A 19,168-nucleotide genomic window follows, 5' to 3' on the forward strand; every position below is an offset into this window, starting at 1 on the left:
TTTTTAGTAGAGACGGGGTTTCTCCATGTTGGTCAGGCTAGTCTCGAACTCCCAATGTCAGGCGATCCACCCATCTTGGCCTCCCAAAGTGCTGGGATTACAGGCGTGAGCCACCGCACCTGGCCAAGCATGACTGCCTTATCCTGTTTTCACTTTATCAAAGATTAAATTCAAAATTCTGAAAGTAATCATTGTGAGTATGGCTGTTTCTTTTCCAATGTGGGAAAAAAATAGTGACCCATCTTTTTTCAGATGAATAAGTAGTAGATAATTTTATTGTTATATGATTCAGATATGTTTTCATGTAGGATTTAGTTTAATCTATTTTTTTTTTTTTTGAGATGTAGTCTCACTCTGTCGCCCAGGCTGGAGTGCAGTGGCTTACTGTAAGCTCCACCTCCCAGGTTCATGCCATTCTCCTGCCTCAGCCTCCTGAGTAGCTGGGACTACAGGTGCCTGCCACCACGCCTGGCTAATTTTTTGTATTTTTTAGTAGAGATGCGGTTTCACCGTGTTAGCCAGGATGGTCTCGATCTGCTGACCTGGTGATCTGCCCGCCTCAGCCTCCCAAAGTGCTGAGATTACAGGTGTGAGCTACCGTGCCCAGCCAGTTTAATCTATTTTTTAAATGAACTTTATTTCTTTAGAGTAGTTTAAGATTTACAGAAAAATTGTGAAGATAGCGCAAAGAAGTCTCATATATCCCTGCATCCAGTTTCTCCTATTGTTAACATCTTACATTAATGTGGTACAGTTGTTACAGTTAATGAGCCAATATTGATACATAATTATAAACTGGAGTCCATACTTTATTTAGATTTACTTAGTCTACCTAATGTCCATTTTCTGTTCCAGGATCTTACTCATTATACCATCTTACATTTAGTCCTGTCTCCTTGGGGTGCCTCTTGATTGGGCTGGTTTCTCAGACTGTCCTCGTTTTTGATGGCACTTAATCTATTTTACAATTGATAAGTTACAGTTCTTCATAGTTTGTTTTATTGATCTGTTTTCCTCCATATACTACTGTAGTCCATTCATTTAAAACTGGCTTTTTATTTTTCCAGTAGGAAATCCATGAAGTCCAGAAGTAGAAGTCCTGCATATTCAAGACATTCATCTTCTCATAGTAAAAAGAAGAGATCCAGTTCACGCAGTCGTCATTCCAGTATCTCACCTGTCAGGCTTCCACTTAATTCCAGTCTGGGAGCTGAACTCAGTAGGAAAAAGAAGGAAAGAGCAGCTGCTGCTGCTGCAGCAAAGATGGATGGAAAGGAGTCCAAGGGTTCACCTGTATTTTTGCCTAGAAAAGAGAACAGTTCAGTAGAGGCTAAGGATTCAGGTTTGGAGTCTAAAAAGTTACCCAGAAGTGTAAAATTGGAAAAATCTGCCCCAGATACTGAACTGGTGAATGTAACACATCTAAACACAGAGGTAAAAAATTCTTCAGATACAGGGAAAGTAAAGTTGGATGAGAACTCCGAGAAGCATCTTGTTAAAGATTTGAAAGCACAGGGAACAAGAGACTCTAAACCCATAGCACTGAAAGAGGAGATTGTTACTCCAAAGGAGACAGAAACATCAGAAAAGGAGACCCCTCCACCTCTTCCCACAATTGCTTCTCCCCCACCCCCTCTACCAACTACTACCCCTCCACCTCAGACACCCCCTTTGCCACCTTTGCCTCCAATACCAGCTCTTCCACAGCAACCACCTCTGCCTCCTTCTCAGCCAGCATTTAGTCAGGTTCCTGCTTCCAGTACTTCAACTTTGCCCCCTTCTACTCACTCAAAGACATCTGCTGTGTCCTCTCAGGCAAATTCTCAGCCCCCTGTACAGGTTTCTGTGAAGACTCAAGTATCTGTAACAGCTGCTATTCCACACCTGAAAACTTCAACGTTGCCTCCTTTGCCCCTCCCACCCTTATTACCTGGAGATGATGACATGGATAGGTAAGTCCTATAGTGAACTGGAAAAAACCCCCTTGATCTAAACATAAAGCATTTTCTGTTTTAATCTTTGTCAACACTACCCTCATGGTTTTATGAACAGGAAATGTCTTTGATATTTTCAGTGGGAAAGTCTGTAATTATGACATTATTACTTGGGAAGAGAGAATTAGAATTTGAGGCCTGGTTAACCCATTTTATCATTAAGTTTATTTTATTTATTTTGTATTTTTTGTATTTTGAGACATGGTCTTGCTCTGTCGCCCAGGCTGTAATGCAGTGGCGTCATCTCAGCTTACTGCAACATCTGCCTCACAGGTTCAAGCGATTCTCCCACCTCACCCTCCCCAGCAGCTGGGACTACAGGCATGCACCACCATGCCTGGCTAATTTTTGTGTTTTTAGTAGAGATGGGGTTTCAACATGTTGGCCATACTGGTCTGGAACTCCTGACCTCAAGTGATTTTCCCACCTGGGCCTGCCAAAGTGCTGGGATTACAGGCATGAGCCACCATCCCTAGCCTAAGTTTATTGATAATGCTAATTTTGATTAAAATTTTAAAAAAATCGAGTTTTCCCTTAAATTTTTGTTGAAAATATTAATACCTATAGAAAAATTAAAAGAATAATAGGCTGTATGCAGTGACTCATGCCTGTAATCCCAGCACTTTGGGAGGCTAGGGCAGGCAGATCACCTGAGGTCAGGGGTTCAAGACCAGGCTGGCCAACATGGTGAACCCCCATCTCTACTAAAGATACAAAAATTAGCTGGGCGTGGTGGTGGGCCCCTGTAATCCCAGCTACTTGAGAGGCTGAGGCAGGAGAATTGCTTGAACCCAGGATATGGAGGTTGCAGCGAGCCAAGATTGCATATTGCCGTATTTGCTCTGTGGATATCATGACACTTTACTTCTAAATATTTCAGTGTGTCTCTCCTAATAATAACGTTCTATATAATTACAATATCTTCATCACCCTGAAAAATTTAACATTGACTTAGTAACATCAATAGTTATATAAATAACATGCTATCGGCCAGGCGCGGTGGCTCACGCCTGTAATCCCAGCACTTTGGGAGGCCAAGGCGGGCGGATCACAAGGTCAGGAGATCGAGACCATCCTGGCTAACAACGGTGAAACCCTGCCTCTACTAAAGATTTAAAAAATTAGCTGGGCATGGTGGCAGGCACCTGTAGTCCCAGCTACTTGGGAGGCTGAGGCAGGAGAATGGCGTGAACCTGGGAGGCGGAGGTTGCAGTAAGTCGAAATCGCGCCGCTGTACTCCAGTCTGGGCGATAGAGCGAGACTCCGTCTTAAAAAAAAAAAAAGCTATCAATAATCATAATATTTAACCAAATAGTCCCAGTAGCCCCCAAAATGTCTTTATTGTTGGTTTTTGTTTTCAGTTGGAATTCAAAATAACTCACAAAATGTCTTTTATAGCCGGGTTTGTTTTTTCTCTCCTGATCCCAGGGTCCAAACTAGGATTATTTTGAAAAGGGCTGCTTTAAAAAAAAAGAAATTATTCCATAAAAAGTAAAAGAATAATATGTAAAGTATTTGCTAATTAGAATATAATTCACAATGGGATGATGGGAAGAGCTTTAATTTTAATGAGTCCTCTGTATATTGAGAACTGAAATGATTATGAAGCATGAATCTAATTTTATAGAAGGCATTAACAAAAATACTTCTTTAAGGCTGGGCTTGGTGGCTCACGCCTGTAATTTCAGCACTCTGGAAAGCCGAGGTAGATAAGATCACTTGAACCCAGGAGTTCAAGACCAGCCTGGCCAACACGATGGAACCCCATCTCTACTAAAAAAAATACAAAAATTAGCCGGGTGTGGCCAGGTGCGGTGGTTCATGCCTTTAATCCCAGCACTTTGGGAGGCCAAGGCGGGCGAATCATGAGGTCAGCAGTTCAAGACCAGCCTGATATGGTGAAACCCTGTCTCTACTAAAAATACAAAAATTAGCTGGGCGTGGTGGCGGTTGCCTATAGTCCCAGCTACTCGGGAGGCTGAGGCAGAAGAATTACTTGAACCCAGGAGGTGGAGGTTGCAGTGAGCTGAGATCGTGCCACTGCCCTCTAGCCTGGGCAACAGAGCCAGACTCCGTCTCAAAAAAAAAAAAAGAAAGAAAAATTAGCCAGGCGTGGTGGCAGGCGCCTGTAATCCCAGCTACTCAGAAGGCTGAGGTGGGAGGATTGCTTGAACTCAGGAGGCAGAGGCTGCAGTGAGCCGAGGTCATGCCACTGCACTCCAGCCTGGGTGACAGAGCGAAACTTTGTCTCAAAACAGTATATATGTATTTCCTTAATATCTTGACAGGACTAACTAGGCAAGTACCACCAAACACACTTGCTTTAGCAGTGACATGTGATGGCAGTCTTTGTGTTATGGTTTGCTTATTCTACTGTGATATTGTGCTCTTTGGGATGTGAATTGCATTTATTGAAACAAACTTTTCATTGTAAGCACAAAATTAAGTGCCACCGATCTTGCATCCTAGCCTAATTCCCAAGCCTTCATTCCTTTCAAGGTGATAATTGTAATTTTATTTCATTTTATTTTGAGACAGGATCTGGCTCTGTCCCCCAGGCTGGAGTGCAGTGGTGTGATCTGGGCTTATTGCAACTTCTGCCTCCCAGACTCAAGTGATCCTCCCACCTCAGCTTCCTGACTAGTTGGGATTACAGGTGCATGCCACTACACCCGGCTAATTTATTTTTTGTAGACATGGGGTTACATCATGTTGCCCAGGTTGGTCTTGAGCTCCTGGACTCAAGTGATCCGCTTGCTTTGGCCTTCCAAAGTGTTGGGATTACAGGCATGAACCACCACTCCCGGCCAATATTGGTCATTTGAATGATGATACATTGCAGCCCTCTGGGTGAGAAAGTATGTTTTTTCGTACCCTCTGTTCTTTAGAGAAGATGCAAGTACAGTAAATGGAAAGGGGGAAAAAAACTATTTTAAGGAATGGCTCCATCACTATAGAAAGAAATATGATGTTTCCTTTTTTTTTTTTTTTTTTTTTTGGCATTACCAGACTGCCAAAATCTGATTTTTTATTTTTATTTTTTTTTGAGATGGAGTCTCTTTCTGTTGCCCAGGCTGGAGTGCAATGGCGCGATCTCAGCTCACTGCAGCCTCTGCCTCCTGGGTTCAAGTGATTCTCATGCCTCAGCTCCTCTGAGTAGCTGAGATTACAAGCATGTGCCACCATGCCTGGCTAATTTTTGTATTTTTAGTAGAGACAGGGTTTCACCATGTTGGCCAGGCTGGTCTCGAACTCCTGACCTTAAATGATTCTCCCACCTGGGCCTTCCAAAGTGCTGGGATTACAGGCATGAGCCACTGCACCCAACCCAAAATGTGATTTTAAAGAAAAATTCCATATACTCTTTCTAACATTAATAGGTATTTATGGACTGAGCTTTGTGGATGTAATCCCAGTACTTTGGGAGGCCATGGTGGGAGGACTGTTTAAGGCCAGGAGTTCAAAACCAGCCTGGACAACAACATAGTGAGACCCCATCTCTATAAAACATTTAAAAATTAGTTGGATGTGGTGGCAGGTACCTTTAGCCCTAGCTACTTGGGAGGCTGAGGCAGGAGGATCACTTGAGCCCAGGAGTTCAAGGCTACGGTGAACTATGATTGGGCCACTGTACGCCAGCTTGTGTGAAAGAGACCCTGTCTTTAAAAATAAAATTTTAATTAAAAAGTAATAACAAATTCTGCCACGTGATGAAAATTACAGAAGAGAAGAGAACCTGAAATTTTTTTTTTTTTTTTTTGAGACGGTGTCTCACACTGTTGTCCGGGCTGGAGTGCAGTGGCGATCTTGGCTCACTGCAAACTCCATCTCCCAGGTTCAGGCGATTCTTCTACCTTAGCCTCCCGAGTGGCTAGGATTACAGGTGCCTGCCACCACGCCCAGCTAATTTTTTGTATTTTTAGTAGAGACAGGGTTTCACCATGTTGGCCAGGCTGGTCTCGAACTCCTGACCTCGTGATTCGCCCACCTAGGCCTCCCAAAATACTGAGATTACAGGTGTGAGCCACCATGTCAGGAACAGAATCTCAAATTTATGTGGAAAAAATTAACTTGAGGTCCAAAATATAGATAGATAAAAGCCATAGATAAAAAGATAAAAGCCATATTTTTATAGTTTTTGTTGGAAAAGGAAATAGTTGAGCATTGTCCAAAGGGACCCTGGCCCTTTAGCTATAGGAACCTCATTTCAATACTTGTTTACATAGTGGCTAGAATATTAATGTGGGTAAGAATCTTGATTTTTTTTTTTTTTACTTCAGAAAAATGTTTAGGAAACAAAAAGCATCTTGATGATTTTTTTCTTTTTTGAGATAGATTCTCTCTCCATAGCCAGGCTGGAGTGCAGTGGCAAGATCTTGGCTCACTGCAACTTCCCAGGGTTCAAGCGATTCTCCTGTCTCAGCCTCCCGAGTAGTTGGGACCACAGGCACCCGCCACCACACCCAGCTAATTTTTGTATTTTTAGTAGAGGTAGGGTTTCACCATATTTCTCCTGGATGGTCTCGATGTCTTGATCTCATGATCTGTCCGCCTCAGCCTCCCAAAGTACTGAGATTACTGGCATGAATCCCCGTGCCCCAACTATTTATTATTTTATTTATTTATTTTTTGAGATGGAATTTTTGCCCTTGTTGTCCAGGCTGGAGTGCAGTGATGTGATCTCGGCTGCATCCGCCTCCCGGGTTCAAGCAATTCTCCTGCCTCAGCCTCCCAAGTAGCTGGGATTGCAGGCACCTGCCACCATGTTCAACTAATTTTGTATTTTTAGTAGACAATGGGTTTCGCCCTGTTGGCCAGGCTGGTCAGGAACTCCTGATCTCAGGTGATCTACCTGCCTTGGCCCCACAAAGTGCAGAGATTACAGGCATGAGCCACCATGCCTGCCTTTTTTTTTTTTTTTTTTTTTTTTTTTTTGAGACAGAGTTCTGCTCTGTCGCCCAGGCTGGAGTGCAATGGGGCAATCTCAGCTCACGCAACCTCCGCCTCCCAAGTTCAAGCGATTCTCCTGCCTTAGCCTCCTGAGTAGCTTGGATTACGGGTGCCCACCACCACGCCTGGCTAATTTGTGTATTTTTATTAGAGATGGGGGTTTCACCATGTTGGTTACAAACTCCTGACCTTAAATGATCCACCTGCCTCGGGCTTCCAACGTGCTGGAATTACAGGCGTGAACCACCAAGTCCAGCCCTAATCTAATTATTATTATTATTTTTTGAGACAGTCTCACTCTGTTGCCCAGGCTGGAGTGCAGTGGTGCCATCTTGGCTCACCACAACCTCCACCACCAGGGTTCAAGCGATTCTCCTGCCTCAGCCTCCTGAGTAGCTGGGACTACAGGTGTGTGCCACCATGTCTGGCTAATTTTTGTAGTGTTTTTATTTTTGTTTTTGTTTTAGATGAAGTCTGGAGTCTCACTGTTGCCCAGGCTGGAGTGAGTCTCACCCTGTTGCCCAGGCTGGAGTGTAGTGGCGCGATCTTGGCTCACCACAACCTCCACCTCCTGGGTTCAAGCGATTTTCCTGCCTCAGCCTCCCAAGTAGCTGGGACTACAGGCGCATGCCACCATGCCCAGCTCATTTTTTTGTATTTTTAGTAGAGACGGGGTTTCACTGTGTTGGTCAGGCTGGTCTCGAACTCCTGACCTCAGGTGATCCACCCACCTTGGCCTCCCAAAGTGCTGGGATTACAGACGTGAGCCACTGTGCCCAGCTAATTTTTGTATTTTTATTTTTATTTATTTATTATTTATTTTTTTTTTTTTTTTGAGTCAGAGTCTTGCTCTGTCGCCCAGGCTGGAGTGCAGTGGCTCGATCTTGGCTCACTGCAAGCTCCACCTCCTGGGTCCACGCTATTCTTCTGCCTCAGCCTCCCGAGTAGCTGGGACTACAGGCGCCTGCCACCACGCCCAGCTAATTTTTTGTATTTTTTAGTAGAGATGGGGTTTCGCCGTGTTAGCCAGGATGATCTCGATCTCCTGACCTCGTGATCTGCCCACCTTGGCCTCCCAAAGTGCTGGGATTACAGGCGTGAGCCACTGCACCCCGCCTATTTTTGTATTTTTAGTAGAGACGGGGTTTCACTACATTGACCAGGCTGGTCTTGAACTCCTGACTTCGGGGTCTGCCTGCCTCGGCCTCCCAAAGTGCTGGGATTACAGGCATGAGCCACTGCACCGGGCCCATCTAATTATTTTTAAACATGATTTTTTTTTTTTTTAGCCATCTCCTCCTCCACCTCTTTTTTTTTTTTTTTAAGAGACGGGGTCTTGCTATGTTGCCCAGGTTTGTCCCAAACTCCTCAACTCATGTGATCCTTCCACCTTGGCATCCCTAAATGCTGGCATTACATGTGTGAGCCACTGAGTTTGGCCATTATTTTTTTTTTTGAGATGGATTCCTGCTGTCACTCAAGCTGGAGTGCAGTGGCTCAATCTCAGCTCACTGCAACTTCTGCCTCTGGGGTTCACATGACTCTCCTGCCTCAGCCTCCCCAGTAGCTGGGACTACAGGCGCATGCCACCATATCCGGATAATTTTTTTGTATTTTTAGTAGAGACAGGGTTTCATCATGTCATCCAGGCTGGTCCCGAACTCCTGACCTTAGGTGATCCACCTGCCTTGGCCTCCCATAGTGCTGGGATTGGAAGCATGAGCCAACGTGCCCAGCCCTGGCCATGATTATTATCAGTATTCTACATATAAATAAATTATTAAAGGTAGAAAAACGGAAATAGACCAGGTGCTGTGGCTCACTCCTATAATCCCAGCCCTTTGGGAGGCCAAGGCAAGAGGCTTGTTTGAGCCCATGTGTTTTAGGCTACATAGCCAGACCCTGTTTCTACCATTAAACAAGAAAAGGCATGATAGCATGCACCTGTGGTCTGAGCTACTTGGGAGACTGAGGTGGGATGATTACTGGAGCCTGGAAGGTCAGAGCTACAGTGAGCCATGATCGCACCACTGCACTCTAGCCTGGATAACAGTGAGATGTTGTATCAAAGAAAATGAGATGAGGATGTCTTCCATTATCAATTTTATTTTTTTATTTTAAATTCATGATGTGTTTCTGTTTCTATTTTGTATGTGTGTGTGTGCTGCTATATCCATGTACCAGCTGCTCCATATCCATGTACCAGCTGCTCCTATCTTTGACATGAAAAGTAATTTTTACATAGGAAAGCTTTTTAGAAAGAAATCTAATGGCCGGGTGCGGTGGCTCACACCTGTAATCCCAGCACTTTGGAAGGCTGAGGCGGGCAGATCACGAGGTCAGGAGATCGAGACCATCCTGGCTAACACGATGAAACCCCGTCTCTACTAAAAATACAAAAAATTAGCCGGGCATGGTGGCGGGCCCCTGTAGTCCCAGCAGCTCGGGAGGCTGAGGCAGGAGAATGGCATGAGCCCGGGAGGCGGAGCTTGCAGTGAGCCGCGATCATGCCACTGCACTCGAGCCTGGGCGACAAGAGCGAGACTCCGTCTGAAAAAAAAAAAAAAAAAAAAATCTAAAAGTTTTGTAAGGAGCTCACTTATATTCTCTGTTTTATCTTCTCACTCGAGACTGCAGCAGCATAATGTTGAGAATGTGACTTACACATCATTTTTAGTATGTTGTGGGTGGAATACAGAATGCAATTAGTAATGTTGGTTATTTTAATTGATGGGTAAATAAAACTTCTAATGGAGCCAGGATCAGGGCTTGTGTGAAATGACAGTGGACTTGTAAAAGAAGTCAGTGTGCACATAAAGAACATAAAGCTTACATTAGAGGATTTGTCTGTTTTTTTTTGTTTTGTTTTGTTTTTTGTTTTTTTCCCCCGAGACAGAGTCTTGCTCTGTTGCCCAGGCTAGGATGCAGTGGCATGATCTCGGCTCACTGTAATCTCCGCCTCTCGGGTTCAAGCAATTCTCCTGCCTCAGCCTCCCAAGTAGCTGAGACTATAGGTGCTCACCACCATGCCTGGCTAATTTTTGTATTTTTAGTAGAGACAGGGTCTCCTCATGTTGGCCAGGTTGGTCTGAAATTCCTGACCTCAGGTGCTCCACCCACCTTGGCCTCCCAAAGTCCTGGGATTACAGGCGTGAGTCACTGCACTGGCTTTTTTTTTTTTTTTTAAGACAGAGTTTTGCTCTTGTTGCCCAGGCTGGAGTGCAATGGCGTGATCTCGGCTGACTGCAACCTCCACTTCCTGGGTTCAAGCGATTTTCCTGCCTCAGCTGCCTGAGTAGCTGGGATTATAGGCCCCCGCCATCACGCCTAGCTAATTTTTATATTTTTAGTAGAGACGGGGTTTTACCATCTTTCCCAGGCTGATTGCAATCTCCTGACTTCATGTGATCCACTCATCTGGGCCTCCCAAAGTGCTGGGATATAGGCGCGAGCCACCGTGTCCAGCCTAGAGGATTTAGTGTCATTTTGGGAAAAGAATGAAACTTTACTTTTTTTTTTTTTTTCCGAGACAGAGTCTTACTTTGTCGTCCAGGCTGGAGTGCAGTGGCGTGATCTTGGCTCACTGTAACCTCCATCTCCATCTCTGAATCCCAAGTGATTCTCCTGCGTCACCCTCCCAAGTAGCTAGGATTACAGGCATGTACCACCATGCCCAGCTAGTTTTTTTTTTGTTTTGTTTTGTTTTTTTGAGAGTTTTGCTAGTTGCCCAGGCTGGAGTGCAATGGTGCGATCTCAGCTCACTGCAACCTCTGCCTCCTGGGTTCTAGCGATCCACCTTCCTCAGTCTCCCAAGTAGTTGGGATTCCAACTAATTTTTTGTATGTGTAGTAGAGAGAGGGTTTCACCACGTTGGCCAGGCTGATCTCGAACCTCTGACCTCAAGTGATCCACCTGCCTTGGCCTCCCAAAGTGCTGGGATTACAGGTGTGAGCCAGCACGCCCAGCCGAAACTTTTCTTTTCTTTCAAACATGTATTTTGAATAGGAGTGTACTAGCTCAGGTATCAAATGCAAGAGTGAATTCAGCTAATGGTATTTCAAAAGCCTTTCTCATTTGTGGTCTATAATTCTTGATTTCAAGAAGCAAGGCAGCCCACGTCCAACATAGTACAATCTACATGACCATAGCTATTAATGGATATATTTCTGCCTTAAGTAGATCATCTGTATACTTTTCTTAGAAATTTCAGTTAACCAGCCGGGAGTGGTGGATCACGCCTGTAATCCCAGCACTTTGGGAGGCCGAGGCCGGCGGATCACCTGAGGTCGGGAGTTGGAGACCAGCCTGGCCAACATGGAGAAACCCCGTCTCTACTAAAAGTACAAAATAAGCAGGGTTTGGTGGCCCATGCCTGTAATCCCAGCTGCTTGGGAGGCTGAGGCAGGAGAATCCCTTGAACTCGGGGGGCGGAGGTTGCGGTGAGCCGAGATCACGCCATTGCACTCCAGCCTGGGCAACAAGAGCGAAACTCCGTCTCAAAAAAAAAAAGAAAAAAAAAAAAGAAATTTCAGTTAACCATATAGAATTTTTAAAGTCTTCTTTTCTTCTTTCTCTTTTTTTTTTTTTTTTGTGGCAGAATCTCACTGTCACCCAGGCTGGGGTACACTGGCGTGATCTTGCCTCACTGCAATCTCCACCTCCTGGCCTCAGCCTCCTGAGTAGCTGGGACTACAATCACAAGCCATGCCCGGCTGTTTTTTTTTTTACATTTTTGGTAGAGACCAAGTTTTGCCATGTTGCACAGGCTGGTCTCGAACTCCTGAGCTCAAGCAGTCTGCCCACCTTGGTCTTCCAAAGTGCTGGAATTACACGTGTGAGCCACTGCGCCCAGCACTTATGTGCTTGCTCGCTCGCGCGCTCTCTCTCTCTCTCTCTCTCTCTCTCTCTCTCTCTCTCTCTCTCTCTCTCTCTCTCTCTCTCTCTCTCTCTCTCTCTTTCTCTTTTCTTTTTTCTTTTTTTTTTTTGACAAAGTCTCATCCTGTTGCCCAGGCTGGACTGCGATGGCACTATCTCGGCACACTGCAACCTCCGCCTCCCGGGTTGAAGTGATTCTCCTGCCTCACCCTCCCAAGTAGCTGGGATTACAGGCAAGCGCCACCATGCCTGGCTAATTTTTTGTATCCTTAGTAGAGATGGGGTTTCACCAGGTTGGCCAGGCTGGTCTCAAACTCCTGACCTTGTGATCTGCCCGCCTCGGCCTCCCAAAGTGCTGGGATTACAGGCATGAGCCTGGCTTGCCTTTTTTTTTTTTTTTTAACAGAGTTTCGCTTTTTTTAGCCCAGGCTGGAGTGCAGTGTTGTGATCTCCACTCACTGCAACCTCCACCTCCTGGGTTCAACCAATTCTCCTGCCTCAGCCTCCTGAGTAGCTGGATTACAGGCGTGTGCCACCACACCCTGCTAATTTTGTGTTTTTAATAGAGATGGGGTTTCACCATTTTGGCCAAGGTGGTCTTGAACTCCTGACCTCAGGTGATCCACCCGCCTCGGCCTCTCAGAGTGCTAGGATTACAGGCCTGAGCTACCGCACCTGGCCTTGCTCTGTTTTTCTAATAGCCTTGTTCATTTGGAGCGTACTGAACTTCAGGGGAGTCTACATTATTTTTAAAGGCTGTATCTCTATAAGTTCAGTAAACTCCAAATGAACCAGGATTTTCCTAGTAGAATGGGATGCTTGGTTTCCATTTTTTATGTACTTAACTAAACTTTTTTTTTTAGGGAACACTTCACGAATTTGTGTCATCTTTGTGCAGGGGCCATGATAATCTTTTCTGTATTGTTACGGTTTTAGTGTATGTGCTGCCAAAGTGAACAATCAACTACATTTTTTTTTTTTTTTTTTTTTGAGGCAGAGTGTCTCTCTGTCACCCAGGCTGGAGTGCTGTGGTATGAACTCAGCTCACTGCAACCTACGCCTCCCAGGTTCAAACAATTCTTGTGCCTTAGCCTCCCAAGCAGCTGGGATTACAGGCATGTGCCACCATGCTTGGCTGATCTTTGTATTTTTAGTAGAGAGGGGTTATGCCATATTGGCTAGGCTGTTATCTAACTCCTGGCCTCAAACAATCCACCTGCCTCAGCCTTTCAAAGTGCTGGGATTACAGGTGAGAGCCACTATGCCTGCCTCAACTAAATTTTTTTTTTTTTTTTTTTTTGAAACGGAGTCTCACTCTGTCCTCTAGGCTGGAGTACAGTGGCATGATCTCGGCTCACTGCAACCTTCGCCTCCTGGATTTAAGTGATTCTGCTGCCTCAGTCTCCTGAATAGCTGGGGTTACAGGCTTGTGCCACCACGCCTGGCTAATTTTTGTATTTTTCGTAGAGACGGGGTTTCACCATGTTGGTCAGGCTGGTCTCGAACTCCTGTCCTCAAGTGATCCACCCGCCTTGGCCTCCCAAAGTGCTGGCATTACAGGCGTGAGCCACCTCGCCCTGGCTCAACTAAATTTTTGATAAAAGTTTGTAAATAGTGGTGAAATCACTGTTTCTTTTCTTTTTTTTTTTTAAGAGACAAGTTTTCCCTTTGTCGCCCATGCTGGAGTTCAGTGGCCTGTGCACAGCTCACAGTATCCTCTACCTGCTAGGCTGGAGCGATCTTTCCACCTCAGCCTCTCAAGTAGCTTGGACTACAGGCACGTGCCATCATGCCTGGCTAATTTTTGTACTTTTTTGTAGAGATGGAGTTTGACTGTGTTGTCCAGGGTAGTAGAACTCCTAGACACAAGGAATACACCTTCCTTGGCCTTCTAAAGTGCTAGGATTACAGGCATGAGCCACCGTGCCTGGTCTGAAATCATGTTTTAAACAACCAACTTCAAGGGGAAGGAGATAAAGGATTATATTTAAAGTAGTTTACGCTGTTAAAATGGGCAAATTATCTCATTGAAAAATTTAGTGTTTTTTAAACAGTTACAATTTATTTATTTATTTATTTATTTATTTATTTATTTATTTATTTTTTGAGGCGGATTCTTACTCTCATGATCCGCCTACCTTGGCCTCCCAAAGTGCTGAGAGTACAGGCGTGAGCCACCACCCCTGGCGTAAATATTTATAAATTTTATATTTTTTCTTTTTTTTTTGTTTGAGACAGGATCTTGCTCTGTTGCCCAGGCTGGAGTGCAGTGGCATGATCTTGGCTCACTGCAACTGCTGCCTCCAGGTTCAAGTGATTCTCATGCCTCAACTTCCCAAGTGGCTGGGATTACAGGCATGAGCTACCACACTTGGCTAAGTTTTTGTATTTTTAGAAGAGACAGGGTTTCACCATGTTGGCCATGCTGGTCTCAAACTCCTGGCCTTAAGTGATATGCCTACCTCGGCATTCCAAAGAGCTGGGACTACAGGCCGTAGTCACCATTCCTGGTCTATATTCTTTTTTTATTAACAGTATTTTTATTAGAAGTGTTTCCATTACACCCACAGATTCAGTTCAGATTCCAAAATACTATTCATATTCTAAAAGTTTGGCAGTCCTAGAGCTTGGTAGGTTTTTAAATTACACATGTATTATGAAACCTAATTACCACATGTGAATTTGTGTATAGGTATAAATGGGGAACTAGGAAATACTGATATAGTTAGGGTACATCAGCGCTTCCTGGTAGTGACTTTTCAAGTAATGACTGTGATGTATAGTATCTGCTCCCCTATGATAGACTCACTTTGCATGTACCACATGTCCGCAACCCTTTATAATACTGAGTGTCCTATGCTAAAGGTGATAATGTTAAGCATTGTAGTTTTGAGGCTGTCATTAAATTTTCAAGGTTTTTAGTACATTGGAATTTACTGAAACAGGATTTGACCTCTATTCAAATTGTATATCCTGAACTGGTAGGACATAACCTATCAAATACTCATTCTGTCTTGAAATAAACATGCTAAAAATGTAATATTTTAGAAGCAGTATACATTTTTCATACATGTTCAATATCCCTAATCCAAAAATCTAGAAATCCTCCAAAATCAGGAACATTTTTAGCGCTGACATGATACTCAAAGGAAATGCTCATTGGAGCATTTCAGTATTCAGATTTTTGCATTGAATATGCTCATCCAGTATAATGCAAATAATCCAAAATCTAAAAATTTTAAAAATTTGAAACACTCAGGCCGGGTGCGGTGGCTCACGCCTGTAATCCCAGAACTTTGGGAGGCCGAGGCGGGCGGATCACGAGGTCAGGAGATCGAGACCATCCTGGCTAACATGGTGAAACCCCGTCTCTACTAAAAATACAAAAAATTAGCCAGGCGTGATGGTGGGTGCCTGTGGTCCCAGCTACTCGGGAGGCTGAGGCAGGAGAATGGCGTGAACCCAGGAGGCGGAGCTTGCAGTGAGCTGAGATCGCGCCACTGCAGTCCAGCCTGGGCGACAGGGCGAGACTCTGTCTCAAAAAAAAAAAAAAAAAAAGTTCAGACACTCTGGTTTGAGGCATTGTGGATAAGAGAGTACCTAATCTGTATTAGTACTTTATTTGAGCTCATAAAGTAAACATTGGAGAAAACAAAAATATGAAACACAGATTGGCTGGGCATGGTGGCTGATGCCTGTGATCCCAGCACTTTAGGAGGCCAAGCTGGAGGATTGCTTCAGGTGGGAGTTTGAGACCAGAGCTTAGGCATCCCCCCCCTTTTTTTTTTTTTTTTTTTTTTGGGAAACAGAGTCTCACTCTGTCGCCAGGCTGGAGTGCAGTGGCTCAATCTCAGCTCACTAATCTCCACCTCCCGGGTTCAGGTGATTCCCCTGCCTCAGCCTCCTGAGTAGCTGGGACTAACAGGCGGGTGCCACCACGCCTGGCTAATTTTTTTTGTATTTTGGTAGAGACAGGGTTTCACAATGTTTGCCAGGATGGTCTTGATCTCCTGACCTCATGATCCCCGGCCTCGGCCCCCTAAAGTGCTGGGATTATAGGCATGAGCCACTGTGCCTGGCCCCTGTCTCTTAAAAAAAAAAAAAGCAGCTGTGGTGGTATGCACCTGTAGTCTCAGCTGCTTGGAATGTTGTAGTGGGTAGATCACTTGAGCCTCGAGGCTGCAGTCAGCTATGATTGCACCACTACAGTCCAGCTTGGGTGACACAGCAAGATCCTGTCTCCAAACAGACAAAAAACCATAGACTGAATTTATTTGAAATGATGATGACACAATTAAAATACCTTAATTTTTCTTTTTTCTTTTTCTTTTTTTTTTTTTGAGACAGAGTCTTGCTCTGTCGCCCAGGCTGGAGTGCAGTGGGGTGATCTTGGCTCACTGCAACCTCTGCCTCCTGGGTTGAAGCGATTCTCCTTCCTCAGGTTCCCAAGTAGCTGGGATTTTGGGAGTGCACCACCATGCCCAGCTAATTTTTGTACTTTTAGTAGAGATGCGGTTTCACCATGTTGGCTAGGCTGGTCTTGAACTCCTGACTTCAGGTGATCCGCCCGCTTGGCCTCCCAAAGTGCTGGGATTACAGACATGAGCCACTGCACCCTGCCTCTTTTTTTTTTTTTTTTTTTTTTCTGTGAAACAGAATCTTGCTCTGTCACTTAGACTGGAGTGCAGTGGCACAATCATGGCTCACTGCAACCTTGGCCTCCTTCCCTGGCTCAAGTGATCCTCTCGCTTCAGCCTCGATAGTAGCTGGGACCAGAAGTGCATGCCACCACTCCCAGCTAACTTTGTTTATTTTTTTTAGAGATAAGGTCTCACTATGTTGCTCAGGCTGGTCTTGAACTCCTGGGCTCAAGCAATCTTCCTGCCTTGGCTCCCAAAGTAGTGGGATTACAGGCATGAGTCACCATGCTCAGCCTGATTTTTCTTGTTCTTCTAGTGAAGCCAAACCAAGAAGAAATCTGTTTTGAATAATGAGGAATTGAGATTTGTAAAGAATATTCCGACAGTGGTTGAGAAATTACAAGTTTTTTTTCGCTGAACATCTTAAAAATTAGAATAATTTAAAAAATCTATGTTGGTGGGGTGCGGTGGCTCATGTCTGTAATCCCAGCACTTTGGGAGGCTGAGGTGGGCAGATCATGAGGTCAGGAGTTCGAGTCCAGCCTGGCCAATATGGTGAAACCCCATCTCTACTAAAAATACAAAAAACTAGCCGGGCGTAGTGGCACACGCCTGTAGTCCCAGCTACTTGGGAGGCTGAGGTAGCAGAATCACTTGAACCCAGGAGGCAGAGGTTGCAGTGAGCCAAGATTGCACCACTGTACTCCAACCTGGGCAATAGAGGGAGACTCCGTCTCAAAAAAAAAGAATCTATATTACATTGTGACTCAAAGAGTTTTCTGATAATAAGTTTTGTTTCTAGGATGGAAAAATCTGAGTGCAGATTATAATAATGTTGCATGTTCATCTCTCCCAGTATTTCAACAGAAAGTTTCAGATGATCATTATCTACTCCACTGACTATCCCAGTTCTGGTTGATGTGGTACAAACTAACCTATATTGTATTGTTCTGTCTGATTTACAAGGGATTAAAACGATAAAAATTGGCAGGAGTCAATAGCTGTTGAGATTTATGTTCTTATATTTTGAGTAAATGACATTCTTTTATGGAAAATTCACACACAAGGGTTAACAGTATTCTTTAAAAAGATACATTGCAAGAGATAGATCTTTGTGGTCTAGGAAATATTCATGCAAAGCACCAATATTTTCCTTTATAACTACCTGTCATAAAAATAGAGAAGATTGCCTGTGGTTAAGGTTCTCAGATCTTTTTCAACCATCTGATACTGTGAAGGAATAGAGAAGACCTATCTGGCCTGATTTTATTTGTAGACATGAGTTAGTCTGTTGTACTATAGATGTCTTATTTTTTCTGAGGATGTGCATGACACAATTTTTTTTTTTTTTTTTTTTTTTTTTTGAGATAAAGTCTTGCCCTGTCACCCAGGCTGGAGTGCAGTGGCACGATCTCGGCTTACTGCAACCTTGACCTCCCCAGTTCAAGCAATTCTCATGCCTCACAAGTAGCTGGAACTACAGGCACATGCCACCATGCCCAGCTAATTTTTGTATCTTTATTTAATAGAGATGAGGTTTCACCATGTTGGCCAGGTTGGTCTTGAACTCCTGGGCTCAACTGATCCGCCTGCCTTGGCCTCCCAAAGTGTTGGTATTACGGGCATGAGCCACCACACCTGGCTCTTGGCACAAAATTTCTCTACCACTTATTAATAAATTGAGATAGGCAAAAAATTGTATCTGGGCCATACGTGGTAGGAGGCGAGGCAAGAGCATCACTTGGGGAGGTCCAGGATTTTGTGACTAGCCTGGGCAATATGGCAAGACCTTGTCTCTACAAAAAATTTCAAGAATTAGCTGGGTGTGTTGGTGTGTGCCGTGGTCCCAGCTTCTTAGGAGGCTAAGGTGAAAGTGTTGCTTGAGCCCGGGAAATTGAGGCTGCAGTGAGCCATGATTGTGTCATTGCATTCCAGCCTGGGCAACAAAGTGAGTCCCTGTCTCAAAAAAAAAAAAAGATTGAAAACTGACTTTTCTGATCTATTCCTGGAAACCTATCTTTCTACAAAACCCCACTGACTACTATAATTTACTGATTACTGGGAGAGGCTTCTGCCACCAGGTGCCTTAATAATTCTGAAATAGTTGCTTGGACCCTTTTTCTTTAGATTTTTAGTTTGATGATTGTCTATTTTGGCTGGTCAGGTTTGCCTTCTGCTTTGAAGTGAACGGAATGATTCAGTATATTTTTTATTAGTTTTGACTTACAACTTAGCTATATTTCTATTTTTTTGTAAATATCTTCGGCAATTTATATTTTTTACAGGGAAAGCATTCTAAAATACTATTTCTTTTTTCCAAGATTTTTGCACCTCTTTAGCGATAGAGTAGTATTAAATTGTTGAGCTCTTCTTGTTTGTTAAATCTTTGCTAAAATGTAGAGTAAATTCGATGAACTCCACGAGTTGCAGTGATACTTTGTGAATTTAAGAAAATTACTTCCTGCATTTTATTTCTATTTTTAAATTTTTTATTTTTCGAGACAGAGCTGCCCTTTGTTGCCCAGGGTGGAGTGCAATGGCATGGTGATGGCTCACTGTAGCTTTGACTTCCTGGGCTCAAATGATGCTCCCACCCCAGGACTGCCGGTTGCCATCTGCCCCCAAGTAGCTGGAAACACACACTTATACCACCATGTCCAGCTAATTATTTTTGAGACAGAGTCTTGTCACCCAGGCTGGAGTGCAGTC

At 44.2% G+C, this 19,168-nt stretch overlaps 1 protein-coding gene and 1 non-coding gene across 51 annotated transcripts in view; one reads left to right on the forward strand and one right to left on the reverse strand.

The window, feature by feature from the left end:
- Nucleotides 1-19,168, forward strand: part of CDK12 (cyclin dependent kinase 12) — a 106,074-nt gene that overhangs the window by 8,326 nt on the left and 78,580 nt on the right. For 34 of the 50 annotated variants that reach the window (XM_047436256.1, XM_047436261.1, XM_047436260.1 and 31 more), the window contains exon 2: nt 1,068-1,952. In XM_047436256.1, the coding sequence (XP_047292212.1) occupies nt 1,068-1,952 (885 nt within the window). The remainder of the gene's footprint in view (nt 1-1,067; nt 1,953-19,168) is intronic. The other 16 variants (XM_047436262.1, XM_047436264.1, XM_047436263.1 and 13 more) reach the window with 1 other exon arrangement.
- On the reverse strand, nt 12,675-12,777 carry LOC124904107 (U6 spliceosomal RNA). The gene has a single exon (XR_007065982.1). It is a non-coding gene; the product is annotated as a U6 spliceosomal RNA (small nuclear RNA).

The sequence above is a fragment of the Homo sapiens genome, chromosome 17 (assembly GCF_000001405.40).
Source record: "Homo sapiens chromosome 17, GRCh38.p14 Primary Assembly".
Lineage (NCBI taxonomy): Eukaryota > Metazoa > Chordata > Mammalia > Primates > Hominidae > Homo > Homo sapiens.